A 14312-nucleotide genomic window follows, 5' to 3' on the forward strand; every position below is an offset into this window, starting at 1 on the left:
GTCTCTAAAAAAAAAAACAAAACAAACAAACAAACAAACAAAAAAACGTAAATTCTAGGTTGGGCACGGTGGCTCACGCCTGTAATCCCAGCACTTTGGAAGACCAAGGCAGGTAGTTTACTTGAGGTCAGGGGTTCGAGACCAACCTGGCCAACATGGTGAAACCCCCTCTCTACTAAAAATACAAAAATTAGCCGGACATGGTGGTGCGTTGCCTATAATCCCAGCTACTTAGGAGGCTAAGGTGGGAGAATCAGTTTAACCCCGGGGGCGGAGAGCTGCAGTGAGCAGAGATCGTGCCACTGCATACCAGCCTGGGCAACAGAGTGAGACTCTGTCCCAACAAAAACAAAACAAAACAAAACATAAATTCTGACTATTCCTTTCCTAGGGCTTCTCCAGCACCCCGACTCTCCAACAGCACTGGGCTTTCACAAGGACAAATAATATGCAAAACTTTTTGGGAGTCTACTTACGATAATTGCCTTAAATTAACATCACAAAGCAATGGAAATTGCATTCCCCTAAGGCTTCTTACTGCAGGAAGTTACCCAGCTCCTGACTGCAAAGGTAGTGACGATTAAAGTCAGGTTGGTTAGCTTCTGTCTTGCAAAGCTTGTCTGTTAATCCATTACTTGTGTTCATATAAAATGGCATTTCTATATCAAAATGCGTGAATGTTTTAACCTTTTGTAAATATAAGCTTATTTTTTTCTGTTGAATCAGACAAGTCTTTCCTCTGCCAGAAACCTTAAAACTGGTATTCTTAAAACAGTATTCTACTAGCTGCTTTTACTTTACTGGATCGATGTTCAGCTTTCAGATCACAGAAAGTCAGTCCTTCACTATTTTGCTAGCCTCAGGCCATACCAGGAGAATTTCAGTGTGAGTGTCTTATTTTAAGCCTAGCATCGGTGAACTAAAGTGCTCACAGGAAGATGGAGGAGAACTGCAGACCAGGTTACTGGAGGAGCAGAGGATGCAGTTCCAGAAGCCCTGTAATGTCTTCAGACCTTTGAAGGCTGTTTTGTAGAAGATGGCTTGTTCTTCCTTAATTTTCAAGGTAAGCATAGGGCCAAAGAGTGAGAGCTATATAAAGCTAGATTTCATCTTTAAATGGAAGACCTTTAAACAATTAGAGCTGTCTGAAAGATATAAAAACTTTCTGGGATTGAACTGAGCTCCTAAGTCATTGGGAGAATTCAAAAGAATGGCCATCTCACAGGTCTACAATACATGCATGATTGAACATGATTAAATATTTTACATGATTATTTTATAATTAAATATATATATATGGACACAGCCATTTGTTTTTAGAAAGCTTTGAAAATGTTTAAGCAAACTTAAACATTTTTATTTTATTTTATTTTTATTAAATAGAGACAGGGTCTCACTGTGTTGCCCAGGCTCGTCTCAAAACTCCTGAACTCAAGCAATTCTCCCACCTCGACCTCCTAATAAGCAAACGCTTGTTATTCTGACCACTAGTTTGTAGAATAGAGCCATGTGGCTAATCATCTTAATCCCACTTGGGTTTCTGAAACCCTTTGCCTGGCTGGCTGTTGTTGACACTATAGGGGCAAAGAAGGAAAGCTTCTGCCTTTACCTTCTGAAGGTTCACTGAAAATGACAAAAGGCAGGTAGGAGAAAAAGGCATACAAATTTATTTAACATGCAGAGCACAGGGGAACTGCATGAGAATGATTACCCAATAACCCAATGAGGCCTAGAGGTTTATAGACCCTTCTTCATGGAGGAAGGAGACATGAGGGTGTAGGAGTAAAAGATTTTTAGTGGGGAATGAATGGACCCAGAAGGCAGACTTTATCTTGTGAATGATTCTCTGGCAATTTAACAGGCAGGAGAACAAACAATGGTTTGGGAAGAAGTTTGTCTGGGCTGTAGCTATGGTGTTTAATGTTCAGTCTCTTCCTTTGTGATAGAAGTTTTAATTTTCTCTGGTTAATGAAATTTCAGGGAAGGGATCAAAGGCAAATTGTGTTCCTCTTTGGGGGTCCAGTTTCTAGGTAGATAAGGGAATTCAGAGAACAGCTTCATTCTGTGCTTTGGGAGAGACAGGATCAGAGAGAAAGGGAGGTAGGGGGAGGTCAGAGGGAGACCCTGGCACTGAGGATTATTTCTGAGGCCTTTCAATTTTCAAAGCAGTCAGCATGCCGAAGCATCATATTTTGGGGTATGGCTCTCTGTGCTCCAACATCTGCTGAAAAAAAGGAATAATTAATGTCAAAACAATAAAAATGCTTTATATTTGTATTCTTCTGTATTTGTACATATCCAGATTTTAGCTGTTTCTCTTTTACTGTATAAATTTATGTATTTCCAAATTACATATGTATATATTCCAGAGATGATTTTAGCTTTCAGGAGGACTCATCTGTTTCCTTAGTCTTAATTCTATTAACACCAAAGGATAGCTTCCTGAGCATAAAAGGGAGAAAATTATTCCATTCCTACCTTTAGTCACTGGTGATAGAGATCACTCCACAATTGAAGAACAAAATCCTCCTCTGAGAGTGAAACTCTTAAATAAAGCACATTTTAGACAAGATTAAGCAACTATGTAAGAAATTTGCCTAAAGAGATATTTTTTCCATAAAAAGCAAAAGATAGTGACATGGATGTCATCTCACTCCTGAATTTAGCTAAATGGAGGTCATTTCTCATCCTGCCCTGCCCCCTCTCAGGAGGAAGAAGGCAGCCCAGGGATGGTGATAACCTACAGAAGCCTTGGGCTCAGCTCCTAAGCCCTAAGGGACAGATGGAGAAAGGAGGACCAGAGGGAGGGGAAAGAGGTGGGGGAGGCGGAGTGTGCTGCTGCAGGTCGCAGGGCAAGACCTGCACTCCCTTAAGTATGTATGCTTCTAGGCTCACAGAGACTGGCCAGGGGCTGGTTGGCATCACACCATACACATCTGTACTAGATACCAAATCACTGCTCATCCTCGACCAGAATGTTTAGTCAGTTAGTTGTGAATATCAATTGCAGAAGAACGTTCTGGTTTCAGTATCTCTCTTTGGTCACAGTCCTAGTTTGTGTGGTTAAAGAAAAAAGAGTCCACTTTTTAGGTTTCCAGATTTAGCAAACAAATAGAATATAAAAATACAAGAGGACGAGTAAAATTTGAATTTCAGAAAAATAATAAATAACATTTTAATGTGAAAATATCCTAAATATATTTTATCTGGCAACTCTATCATATTTTCCAATCAAGAGTTAAGCCTTGGGGCCAGGCATGGTGGCACACACTTGTAATCCCAGTACTTTGGAAGGCTGAGGCGGGCAGATCACTTGAGGTCAGGAGTTCGGGACCAGTCTGGCCAACGTGGTGAAACCTCCTGTCTACTAAAAATACAAAAAAAATTAGCCAGGTGTGGTGGCACATGCCTGTAATCCAGCCACTCAGGAGGCTGAAGCAGGAGAATTGCTTGAACCCAGGAGGAGGAGGTTGCAGTCAGCTGAGATCACGCCACTGCACCCCAGCCTGGGCAACAGAGCGAGACTCTGTCTCAGGAAAAAAAAAAAAGAAAGAAGATGAGAAAGAGAAAAGTCAGCATAACGGAAATAAATCAGAGACATAAGTAATCAACGACTAACACTTTTTGCTATTTTGTTTTTCTCAATTTAAATTTTTTTCTTTTAAAAATTACCTTTTATTTTTGTGAAAATAATGTAAATACACACAAAAATTAAAAAGTCAAAAGGGACTGGGCACAGTGGCTCATCTGGGTTATACCAGCACTTTGGGAGGCCAAGGAGGGAGGATCACTTGAGGCCAGGAGTTCTAGACCAGCCTGGGCAACATAGTGAGATCTTGTCTCTCCAAAAAAAAAATTTAGCTGGACATGGCAGCGTGCACCTGTAGGCCTAGCTACTTCAGAGGCTGAGGTGGGAGGATTGTATGAGCCCAAATGTTCAAGGTTGCAGTGAGCTATGATCCTACCTCTGCACTTCAGCGTGGGTGACAGAGTGAGAACCCAACTTAAAAAAAAGTCAAAAGTACTAAAAGGTGTATGATGAAAAATAGCAGTGCACTGTTCTACCCAATCCCACTCAATCCCATCCCTGCTCTGATCCCCAGAGGTAGTCAGTTCATCCTTTTCCGTTGTTTTTCCCAGTTTTAACTGCCTCCCATATTCCTAAAAATGCCTATACTGCTATTTTGTTGATTTGTCAGCTTTGGACATTACCTACCTTCTTTTTCTTTCTTTTTTCTTTTTTTTTTTTTGAGATGAGTCTTGCTCTGTTGCCCAGGCTGGAGTGCAGTGGCGCTATCTTCACTCACTGCAACCTCTGCCTCCCAGGTTCAAGTGATTCTCCTGCCTTAGCCTCCAGAGTAGCTGGGACTACAGGCGCACGCCACCATGCCTAATTTTTGTATTTTTAATAGAGACGGGTTATGTTGGCCATAATTTTTAATAGAGACGGGTTTCACCATGTTGGCCAAGATGGTCTCAATCTCTTGACCTCATGATTGGCCTGCCTCGTGCTCCCAAACTGCTGGGATTACAGGTGTGAGCCATTGCACCTGCCCTGAAAATATCTTTTTACTGTACCATTCCTCTTGACTAATGGTTTGGGTTTAGATCTCTAGGCTGTAAATCATTCTCACTCAGAATTCTGAAGGCCTTGCTCCATTCTGCTCCAGCTTCCAGCACTGCTCCTGAGAAGCCTACTCCCATTCTCATTCCTGATCCTTTGGAGTCACCTGTTTTCTTTCTGGATCCTTTTAGAGTCTTTTCTTTATCCCTGGTTTTCTGCCAGTTCATGAAAATGAACCTTGAAATATAAATCTTATTTTATCTCCCTGAGGATTTTATAGCATTTTTAAAAGTTTTCTTCTTCTCTCTGATCATATTAAAGGATTATGTGCTGAAGAGATGACTAGATGGATGGCCAACCTGCTTGGGTAGAGCTTGACTAATGGGGGACTTCCCTGCGCGGCGTGGTTGTCCCTGAGCTGCTCTTTCATTGAGGGCCCCAAATGCCTGTATCTAAAGGTCTTCCCTTTGAGCCTGCTCAATTTCTACAGAAAAAGGTTCTTTCATTTTCAGGTGGTGGTCGTGGAGTAGGGGGTGGGTTGGGGTGGGGTGAAGGGGTGAGAAATGTGCCTGGCTCCTAGGTTATCTAGAAACAGGGTGAGGAAAAGGGGCTGAGAGTTTACCTTTTAGTATCTAGATTTCCTTTTGTTCCCCATATTTCCAGTTCTGCACCCCATACCTGCTCTTCACAGTACCTGATGTGCTGATCCAAATTCCCCAGGGAGTAAACCTCAGGTCTCCTTCAGGAGTGGGCAGGAGCAGACAGCCCACTGCCCACCTGGGCCTCTCACCTGGCTCTCAGGCAGGCACCACACTCCTGCCATTCACAGCGCGGTCCTCTGTCTCCCAGCAGTTCCACCTGCCTCTCTCCTCCCCTCTGTGGGATCAGGCCTCAGCTCCCTCCATGCCTCTGTGTGACTCACCACTCCTTCCTCTGCTTCCCACCTTACGAAAATGTGGTGACATCCTCCGTCTGCTGCTGCCTCCTCTTCTATTCTCAGAGACCTTGTCGGGTTTTTGTTTTTTTTTTTTTAACTCTTTTTTACTCCTGTATTGTTGTATTTGGTAGGGCTTGGGAGGGAGCAGAGATTCACAATTCACAAGAGACTCCTCTGCCACGTTTAACCAGAAGTTCTTTCGTGTAAGTTTTCACTCTGAAGCATTTTCGGGGGACACTTTCCAGGCCCTGTTCTGAAATCTTGCTTTCAGTCAACACAGTTGCTTTTTGTTTTGCTTTGTGGTAGATGTTTCTTTATGGGAAGTGGATCAAAGTCTAAACACACACTTCGTTTTGTTTTTGTTTGTTTGTTTTTCTTTTTTTTTTTTGAGACAGAGTCTCGTTTTGTCGCCAGGCTGGAATGCAGTGGCACGATCTCGGCTCACGGCAACCTCTGCCTCCCAGGTTCAAGCAATTCTCCTGCCTCAGCCTCCCGAGTAGCTGGGACTACAGGCATGCACCATAACATCAGGCTAATTTTTGTATTTTTAGTGGAGACAGGGTTTCACCATGTTGGCTGGGCTGCTCTTGATCTCCTGACCGCAGTTGATCCACTTGTCTCGGCCTCCCAAAGTGCTAGAATTACAGGCGTGAGCCACCACGCCGAGCACACACATTGTTTAATGGTATCGGTAAAACACTCTTGACCTTTTGAACAACAGCAACCAGACCCAAATATGTCTCTCTGCTTTTGTTTTGGAATGGGGATGGAAAAGCTGGAGAGGCGCTTGGCAGCACGGCCCTTGCCCCAGTGCTTGAAGGTCTGGTCCATCTCCTGTGCATGAATAAAAAGCAAGGGGAACGCTGAAATATCATCTCTTTGGAATTCAGCATGAGCCCCACTTCTCTACTCTCCTGTGTTGACACATTAGTGCTATTGTGTTGCATCTGCTGGTGGATCTCCTTTCATCTGCAGGCCACACAAAACCCCCTCATGTAAAGCTGCACACAAGGCTCTCAAATTATGAGGACACTTTAGCAGTCATTCCTCTTATAGAAGGGCTCACAGTCTTAGGGAAGGATTGCTGCCATTTCAGTGTGCTCCACTGTGCCCTGATACAGAAAGTCCAGACAAGCTAAGGCGGGAAAGCCAGGCTGGGAGCCCGTGACAGGGAAAAGTTAGCAGACGAGTGAGTAGACCAGATGGATAGGGCTTTGAATGCCACACCAAGGTCTTTGGATTTTTCTGCAGGCATTGGGAGCCACCCAAGGATTTTGAGCAGGAGAGTAACATGAGACAAACTGTGCTTTCAGAAAATTAAGTTGGCCGGGAGGAGTGGCTCACACCTGTTATCCCAGCACTTTAGGAGGCCGAGGCAGGTGGATCACCTGAGGTCAGGAGTTCAAAACCAGCCTGGCCAACATGGCCAAACCCCATCTCTACTAAAAATACAAAAATTAGTCGTGCGTAGTGTTAGGCGCCTGTAGTCCCAGTTACTTGGGAAGCTGCGGCAGGAGAATTGCTTGAACTCAGGAGGCAGAGGTTACAGTGAGCCAAGATTGCACCACTGCACTCCAGCCTGGGTGACAGAGCGAGACCCTGTCTCAGAAAAATAAATAAATAAAAATACAAAAATTAGCTGGGTGTGGTGGCAGGCACCTGTAGTCCCAGCTACTTGGGAGGCCGAGGCAGGAGAATCGCTTGAACGCGGGAGCTGGAGGTTGCAGGGAACGGAAGTTGCAGTGAACTGAGATTGCGCCACTGCACTCCAGCCTGGGCAACAGAGTGAGACCCTGTGTCAAAAGAAAAAAAAAAAGGAAAATTAAGTTGATAGCTGTAGCTCAGAAGGTTCAGAGAGGGAGAGGCTAGAGTCCAGGGGGCTCTAGATCAGATCACTGGGAGACCTTTGTAAAAATCCACACCCCAGGCCAGGCACAGTGGCTCACGCCTGTAATCCCAGCACTTTGAGAGGCCGAGGCGGGTGGATTATCTGAGGTCGGGAGTTTGAGACCAACCTGACCAACATGGAGAAACCCTATCTCTGCTAAAAATACAAAATTAGCCAGGCGTGGTGGCACATGCCTGTAATCCCAGCTACTCGTGAGGCTGAGGCAGAAGAATCACTTGAACCCGGGAGGTGGAGGTCGCGGTGAGCCGAGATTGTGCCATTGCACTCCAGCCTGGGCAAGGAGAGCAAAACTCCGTCTCAAAAAAAAAAATCCACACCCCAGCCTCTGCCCTTCAAGATTTTGTTTCAGGTGGTTTGGGGAGGGAACTAGGAATCTGCATTCTCAAAACATTCCACAGGTGCAGAGGTCATTGTGACAGGCTGCTAAAGGGGACCAGACCCCAAATATGGGGCTGGGAGTCTAGGGAGAGAGGGGAAATAGATGGGGATGCTACCCTGAGGCGAGCCCCACCTGGCCTCTGCCTGTTTAAGGGGCTGAAGGGAGGAAAACATGAAGAAGACCATCAAACTGGGCCAGGAGAGCTGCCTGGAGACTGGTGCCCGGCCTGCAAGGCAACCTTAGAAGAAAATCAGATTTGGGAGATGATGACATGGGACATTCCAGGTGACAAAGGGGCCTGGGACTTGGGGGATGGTGAATCTGTGAGCACCTGGCTCCTACTTACAGTCATGGAGTATGTGGAACTGGGAAGGGAAACTGTCATTCACATCTCTCAGTCAAAGATACGTAGGCACATGCATGGACACAAACATAGCCCTCTTCTGCAGGAGTCAGAAAGGCTGGTGATTCAGAGACTGGGCTCTGTAATCCAGCAGCCCTGGATTGAAATCCTGACTCTGTGGCTCTGGCTGAGTCACCTGTCCTCTGTGAGCAACAGCCTCCTCACCTATAGAAAGAAAATGTTGCCAGCAGTTAACTCAATATGGCTTTGTGGTGACTCGATGAGATGCTGCATGCAGAGGCTGGACACAGTGCCTGACACAAGGAGAGACTCTGTATGGAAGCTCTAAGGGTAATACTAAAAAATGCAATCTCACTTCTGAAGCCAGGGAGCCATAAAGTATTTCATTCAGAGTGCAAGGAAGAAAGTCCACAGGAAGACATGAAGCCTTTTTTTTTTTTTATACAGAGTTTTGCTCTGTTGCCCAGGCTGGAGTGCAGTGGCATGATTTTGGCTCACTGCAACCTCTGCCTCCCAGGTTCAAGCGATTGTTGTGCTTCAGCCTCCCGAGTAGCTGAGCTTACAGATGCACGCCACCACGCCCAGCTAATATTTTGTATTTTAAGAGAGATGGGGTTTCACCATGTTGGCCAGGCTGGTCTTGAACTCCTGACCTCAAGTGATCCACCGGCCTCAGCCTCCCAAAGTGCTGGGATTACAGGTGTGAGCCACCATGCCCAGCCAGCATGAAGCCTTTCATTTGCTGCTACCCATTCCGTATGGCTTTCTCTGGGTGTGTGTTTGGTGAGTCCTTTGCCTTTGGTTTCTAGGACTCATAGAGAAATGACAGACCCTTCCTACTGCATTTAATTGGAGAGGAGCACAGAGACCTGAGATTATAATGATGACGTCTTAAATGTCAAGTGCTTCAAAAGTCTGCTGTTGCACTCACTGTCACCCTAAACAGCTCTGGAAACCAAAACCCTGCAGCCACCTAAAGCATGCCCTGAGTCTCTCAGCCAGGTTTCATCTGGGAAATCTGAGTGACAGTGACGTGCAGGCAGCTGGAAGACGCACAGTAAACCGAGGAGCCTGTGATGAGCTCAGAGGAGGTGAGTTGATGATCTGCTATTTATAGCCCCACTAAGAGGCTCTGGCCGCCAGCTCCATGTGAGTCTGGGTGGAAATGATGCCTTCGCAGAGCTGAGAGCACAAAATGAAGTTGGTGATTCATGGGCAGCAGCCACTTGAAAATATGAACACTCCTGCGTCCCCAGCCCCGCCGGCCTTTCACACCCATTTGGAGGCGTGTTGAGCAGAGCTGCTAGCCTGCTGCATCCTAGTCTGCATGTGTTTGGGCAGGATGTGAGGACAGGCCGGTTCTACCCTGACAAGGAGCCTGCAAAGGGCAGCAGCACGCCTGGGAGCACTCCAAGAACGTCTGCCCACCCCCCGAGAGGCCTCGGCTGGAACCCAGGGCAGGGCTGAGTAAGAGGTAAGCCCCGAGAGGACCTGCGGTCACAGAGAAAGGACACTTCCTGCTCCTGCCCTCTGTCTCCAGGGGCGACGCTGGCAACAGAGCAGCTTTCTGATGACGCTTGTTCTGCTGAACATACAAAAATTTACAATGAGGAAACCCTTGCAGCTTGACATTTCCCCCCGCACAATTCCACAGCCCAGCACCTGTCACCTGAAATAGCTATTGTTTATTTTCCTCAGTAACATCTTGGCTTCCAGGCCAAAGTCTACTTGGAGGCCCAAACTCAACTCACCCTATGTGAGGAATGCCCTGGAGGTCTCTCAGTTTCCCACAACCAAACTGGATTTAAAGGGCCAAACCAGGATAAGGAGGCCAGCTGAGCTCTGAAGCCAGATTGTCTGGGTTCAGATTCTTTCTCTACACTTGCAGCCACGTGGCTTCAGTCAAATTGCCCTCTGAGACTCAGTTTTTCTCATTGGTAAAATGAGGATAATTACAGAACCTACCTCACTGGGTTGCGGTGAAGGGTGACATTTGAGTAGTGGTCAGCCCAGCATCCAGCACATGGACAGACTTGATACTGGACACTGCTGCTGCTGCTTTTGCTGTTGAAGTTGTTTTCACTCCTGGGTTTTGGTCCCTGTACTGATAGCACTCCTTTGCACACAGTCTATGGCACTGAGGTTCCTTGTGGAGGTGGTGCCCTGAGGCTTCAATAGAGACCCTCTGCCCATCACAAACAAACCCCATATCAGGCTGCCAAGCATAGTGGACTTCACCCCGGGGGCATCTCAGCCCCATGCTTGACCGGCCCCTGCCTTTGCCTAGGAACCAAGTGCCTTTCCCTTGGGGCTGGGCTTTGCCCGGGTTGACTACCCTGATGCTTCTGCTCCTCTATGTCCTGGGGTGGTCTTGGGGGTATTAACTGTCACCATCCAGTGGAGGGTTTCACCGAGGGTCCCAGGTGCTAACATGAGGTCTGTGGCCAGCAGGCAGCCTGGATGACTGGCCGGATAGGCAGCAGGGAGGGCCTGGATGACTGGCCGGATAGGCCCACCTCACCTATGGGCTGCACTTGCAGCACAAACTGCTGATTCATGGAGACTCATGAGGCCTTGGCTATCTGTACATTCTCCATCTCCAGCTGTCGGCCAAAATATAATTGTAGTTGTCACTTTGGCAGAGAGATACTATGATGTGTCCTATCTCCAAGGCAGTGAGCTTTTGGAAGATAGGAGGGATCTGCAGCTGCTCCTGTGGAGAGAACCATTCTGGAAAGTGGTCTGTGTGAAGTGCACCCAGGTGCAGTCCCAGGAGTGGTGTGAGCAGCAGGGTGAGGCCCTATATTAGAATGGGCACTGGTGTTGCCTGTGTCTGCATCTACAGTAATGCAATTCTGATGACATCAATGAATAACAGAGAGGCTGCCATTGAAATGAGGCATTGTTGGCAGCTATGCGGACTTGGAAAACAGCCACCAGGCTTATGCACAAGTCAGAATCCATCGTGTGTGGGGTAAATGAGTGGTTAGACCATGGGGTACATGGTGTAAGGGAGATGATGCCAGAGACATAGCTAGGACCAGACTGAGAAGCAAGGGACTCGAAGACCAGGCCATGCAGCTTGGACTTGATCCTGGACATAGGGAAAGTGATGTGATTAGAGGATGTGGGGGTTCTGGGCTCAAGCATCCTCGAAGGGTCGCACTAAGGGCAAGGCTCCCCCTCCCCACGGCAGTTGGCAAGCAGCGGCTTGCTGTTTGAGAAGGTGTTTACTCCTCTGGAGCATGAGTCCCACACTCAGAAGGTGCTGAGACTCTGCTCGTAGGGTAAGCATATGAAGGGCCGGTCCCAGCCAGGACAGCTGGGAGTGCGCAGTCAGCAAGGCAAAGCACCAGGCTTATGTCTTCCCTCTTCTTCCATCCTTCTTGGCCAGGAGTTTATTATTGAAGCACCTGTGTGCAGATGTGCTAAATGTAGATGACTGCACCACTCAGGTCAAAGGTCAGGGAGGCTCCTGGGACTGAGAGATGACCCCGCTGCCTGTGGATGTGGCCTCCCTCCCCACTAAGGAAACAGCAGAGGCAAACATCCAAGCTTGCCTGATGGAGGAATTCCTAGAAGAAAGGTTCTATCCTTATGTACTTAAATACTGATTTAGAGGTTGGTTAATGGAGACAGAAGAATACTAAGTGTTGGGAGCCGTTACCAGTGGAGGACCCACCCATGAGCACGGAAGCCAGAGCATATCTGGACCATCATGTAAGTCCGGAGGAAGACACGATTCAGTTGACAAAAATTTGTGTACCCTCCTCAGAAGTGCATTGTTGTGCAAGAAATGGTTTGGCAGTGACTCTCCCCTTTCAGCTGCAAGCCATCAAGGGCTGAATGCCTCTCCAGTTGCCAGAGGAGGAGTGGCTTGTAGAGCGGATGTTCCCAGTCTGGCAGAATCTTCTGTCAAGTGTTCCCTGAGTTGGGCTGCCAGGGGGCAGGTGTTGAACAGTGAGGAAGTCCTCTCACCTGAGCAGCTTCTGATGCAAGAGGGGTGTCGTGAGTGCCTGGAATCCTATGCCTGTGGGTGGAGCGTGAACTTAGCCTCTTCCCTGAGGGTAGGCAGCATGTCATAACCACTTCTGGCTGCCCATGGCTGGTTTGGGGCAATATGCCAAGATGTAGTTTTGCCTATTTGGTTTGCTTTTTCCTTTAAAATGTACAAAAGTTAATAACATGTAATGGGTTTTTAAAAAATTATAAAATATGAGATACAATCAGAAAAGTCCAAACAGACCGGGTGAGGTGGCTCACACCTGTAATCCCAGCACTTTGGGAGGCCGAGGGAGTGGATCACCTGAGGTCAGGAGTTTTAGACCAGCCTGGCAAACATGGTGAAGCCCCATCTCTACTAAAAATACAAAAATTAGCTGGGCGTGGTGGTGTGCTTTGCCTGTAGTCCCAGCTACTCAGGAGGCTGAGGCAGGAGAATTGCTTGAACCTGGGAGGCTAAGGTTGCAGTGAGCCAAGACTGTGCCACTGCACTGCACTCCAGCCTGGGTGATAGAGCAAGACTCTATCTCAAAAAAAAAAAAAAAGAAAAAAAAGAAAGAAAAGAAAAGTCCAAACAACTATACATACAGCTTAACAAATAATTATAACATGAATGCACTCCAGACTGGGTGACAAAGTGAGACCCTGTCTCAAAAAAAAAAAAAAAAAAAAAGGAAAAGGAAAAAAAGATTTAATTCATGAGTGAGCCAATAAAATATTACAACCAATTCAAAGGAGAACTCAAAGTATCACAAATAATAGTCAGATGAAGAAAGTTGATTTTAGAAATGGATGCAAAACTGGTCAATATCCATGAGGCAGTAGTCAGTTGCAATTCAGACACAATTTGCATTTCTGTGAACAGGAATTATTTGCATTGGTATGACGTTTCTACAATTTAATTTCTATCTTGAGAGGGTTGAGAAATAGTCTAGTCAAAGACAACAAAAGCCAGAGATAACCTGGATGAATAAGTTATTCAGGACACCCCCCAAGTTTCAACATCATTCACAGTTTCTTCTTACACTTGTAATTGGTTCCCTACCTACCTCCCTCCTAGAAATTCCCCTCTGCACGTTCCTACTGCCCTGTTTGAACCAGCTGACCCCACCCTTCCTCCCATGTTATGGTGATGGGCCAGGGCTGAAAGCCTAACCTGGGGGAACGTACTTATCACCTAAGCTGAGCCAAACAAGTGCTCCCAAGGCTTGGACACTGCTTCTACAGGGGTGGGCACTGACATTGTCAGACTCGGGCAGGCAGACTCAGGCAGGCACACCCAGGGCTGGTAGTCATAATGGGCCTTGTAAAAGATAACCAAGCATTTTCTGTAAAGGGTAACAGATTAGGAATACAAAGAGAAAAAACTGTAGTCCAGTGAGAAAGACAGAGTACCTGTCCAATGAGCTTGCAGTGCCTGGGATGACTTCCTGCATTTGGGTTCCATTAGAGTCCCCCTTTATGCCTGAATCAGTTTGGGTGGGTGTCTGTTCCACTAATTGCCTATCTGAAAGAATAGCTGACGTACAAGATGTATGATGACCTGCAGGGCTGAGGTCTTTTTCTTTTTCTTTCTTTCTTTTTTCTTTTTTTTTTGAGAGAGTCTCACTCTGTTGCTCAGGCTGGAGTGCAGTGGCACCATCTTGCTCACTGCAGCCTCTGCCTCCTGAGTTCAAGCAATTCTCCCACCTCAGCCTCCCAAGTAGCTGGGATTACAGGGGCCCGCCACTACTCCCGGCTAATTTTTTTTTTTGTATTTTTAGTAAAGATGGGGTTTCACCATGTTGGCCAGGCTGGTCTCCAACTCCTGACCTCAGGTGATCCACCCACCTTGGCCTCCCAAAGTGCTGGGATTACAGGTATGAGCCACCAGGCCTGGCCAAAAGTCTGGTGTTTCTTGAGAGTCAGGGGAGGGGTTAGTTGAAGGGGGCAATGTGGCCAATTACTTGGGGTCCTGGGGGCCTCAGAGGGAAGTCGGTGCTTCACTTGAAGAGTATGGGGTTTAAGAAAGTGAGTGCTGTGGTCAGATCTGTACTTTGGAACAATCACTCTGGCTGCTGGTGGAGAACAGGTGGGAGGGATAATGGACAGGAGGCATAAAGACCCCTCAGGAGGCAGCCACAGGCATCCAAGCCAGAAGCGATCACCTGAACAGAG

The 14312-nt window shown here is 46.9% G+C and overlaps 1 long non-coding RNA gene across 1 annotated transcript, besides 5 other annotated features; it reads right to left on the bottom strand.

The window, feature by feature from the left end:
- Nucleotides 1-1644: 1644 nt before the first annotated feature.
- Nucleotides 1645-7641, bottom strand: LINC02999 (long intergenic non-protein coding RNA 2999). The gene is made up of 3 exons (NR_105044.1): nucleotides 7584-7641; nucleotides 2479-2545; nucleotides 1645-2224 (listed from the first exon to the last, which is right to left on the bottom strand). It is a non-coding gene; the product is annotated as a long intergenic non-protein coding RNA 2999 (long non-coding RNA).
- Nucleotides 8812-10011: an enhancer, noted in NCBI's record as "CDK7 strongly-dependent group 2 enhancer chr5:133771909-133773108 (GRCh37/hg19 assembly coordinates)". NCBI's record gives its function as "activates an origin of replication core promoter dependent on BRD2, BRD4, P300/CBP, MED14 and CDK7 cofactors, with strong dependence on CDK7, by STARR-seq in HCT116 cells {active_cell/tissue: HCT116}" and the evidence as "EXISTENCE:reporter gene assay evidence [ECO:0000049][PMID:35650434]".
- Nucleotides 9429-9618: an enhancer, noted in NCBI's record as "active region_23145". NCBI's record gives its function as "activates an Ori minimal core promoter by ATAC-STARR-seq in GM12878 lymphoblastoid cells {active_cell/tissue: GM12878}" and the evidence as "EXISTENCE:reporter gene assay evidence [ECO:0000049][PMID:35858748]".
- Nucleotides 9719-9788: an enhancer, noted in NCBI's record as "active region_23146". NCBI's record gives its function as "activates an Ori minimal core promoter by ATAC-STARR-seq in GM12878 lymphoblastoid cells {active_cell/tissue: GM12878}" and the evidence as "EXISTENCE:reporter gene assay evidence [ECO:0000049][PMID:35858748]".
- Nucleotides 11034-11549: an enhancer, noted in NCBI's record as "H3K27ac-H3K4me1 hESC enhancer chr5:133774131-133774646 (GRCh37/hg19 assembly coordinates)". NCBI's record gives its function as "activates a minimal SCP1, AML or CMV promoter by ChIP-STARR-seq in primed H9 embryonic stem cells {active_cell/tissue: H9 hESC(primed)}" and the evidence as "EXISTENCE:reporter gene assay evidence [ECO:0000049][PMID:30033119]".
- Nucleotides 11550-12063: an enhancer, noted in NCBI's record as "H3K27ac-H3K4me1 hESC enhancer chr5:133774647-133775160 (GRCh37/hg19 assembly coordinates)". NCBI's record gives its function as "activates a minimal SCP1, AML or CMV promoter by ChIP-STARR-seq in primed H9 embryonic stem cells {active_cell/tissue: H9 hESC(primed)}" and the evidence as "EXISTENCE:reporter gene assay evidence [ECO:0000049][PMID:30033119]".

The sequence above is a fragment of the Homo sapiens genome, chromosome 5 (assembly GCF_000001405.40).
Source record: "Homo sapiens chromosome 5, GRCh38.p14 Primary Assembly".
Classification (NCBI taxonomy): domain Eukaryota; kingdom Metazoa; phylum Chordata; class Mammalia; order Primates; family Hominidae; genus Homo; species Homo sapiens.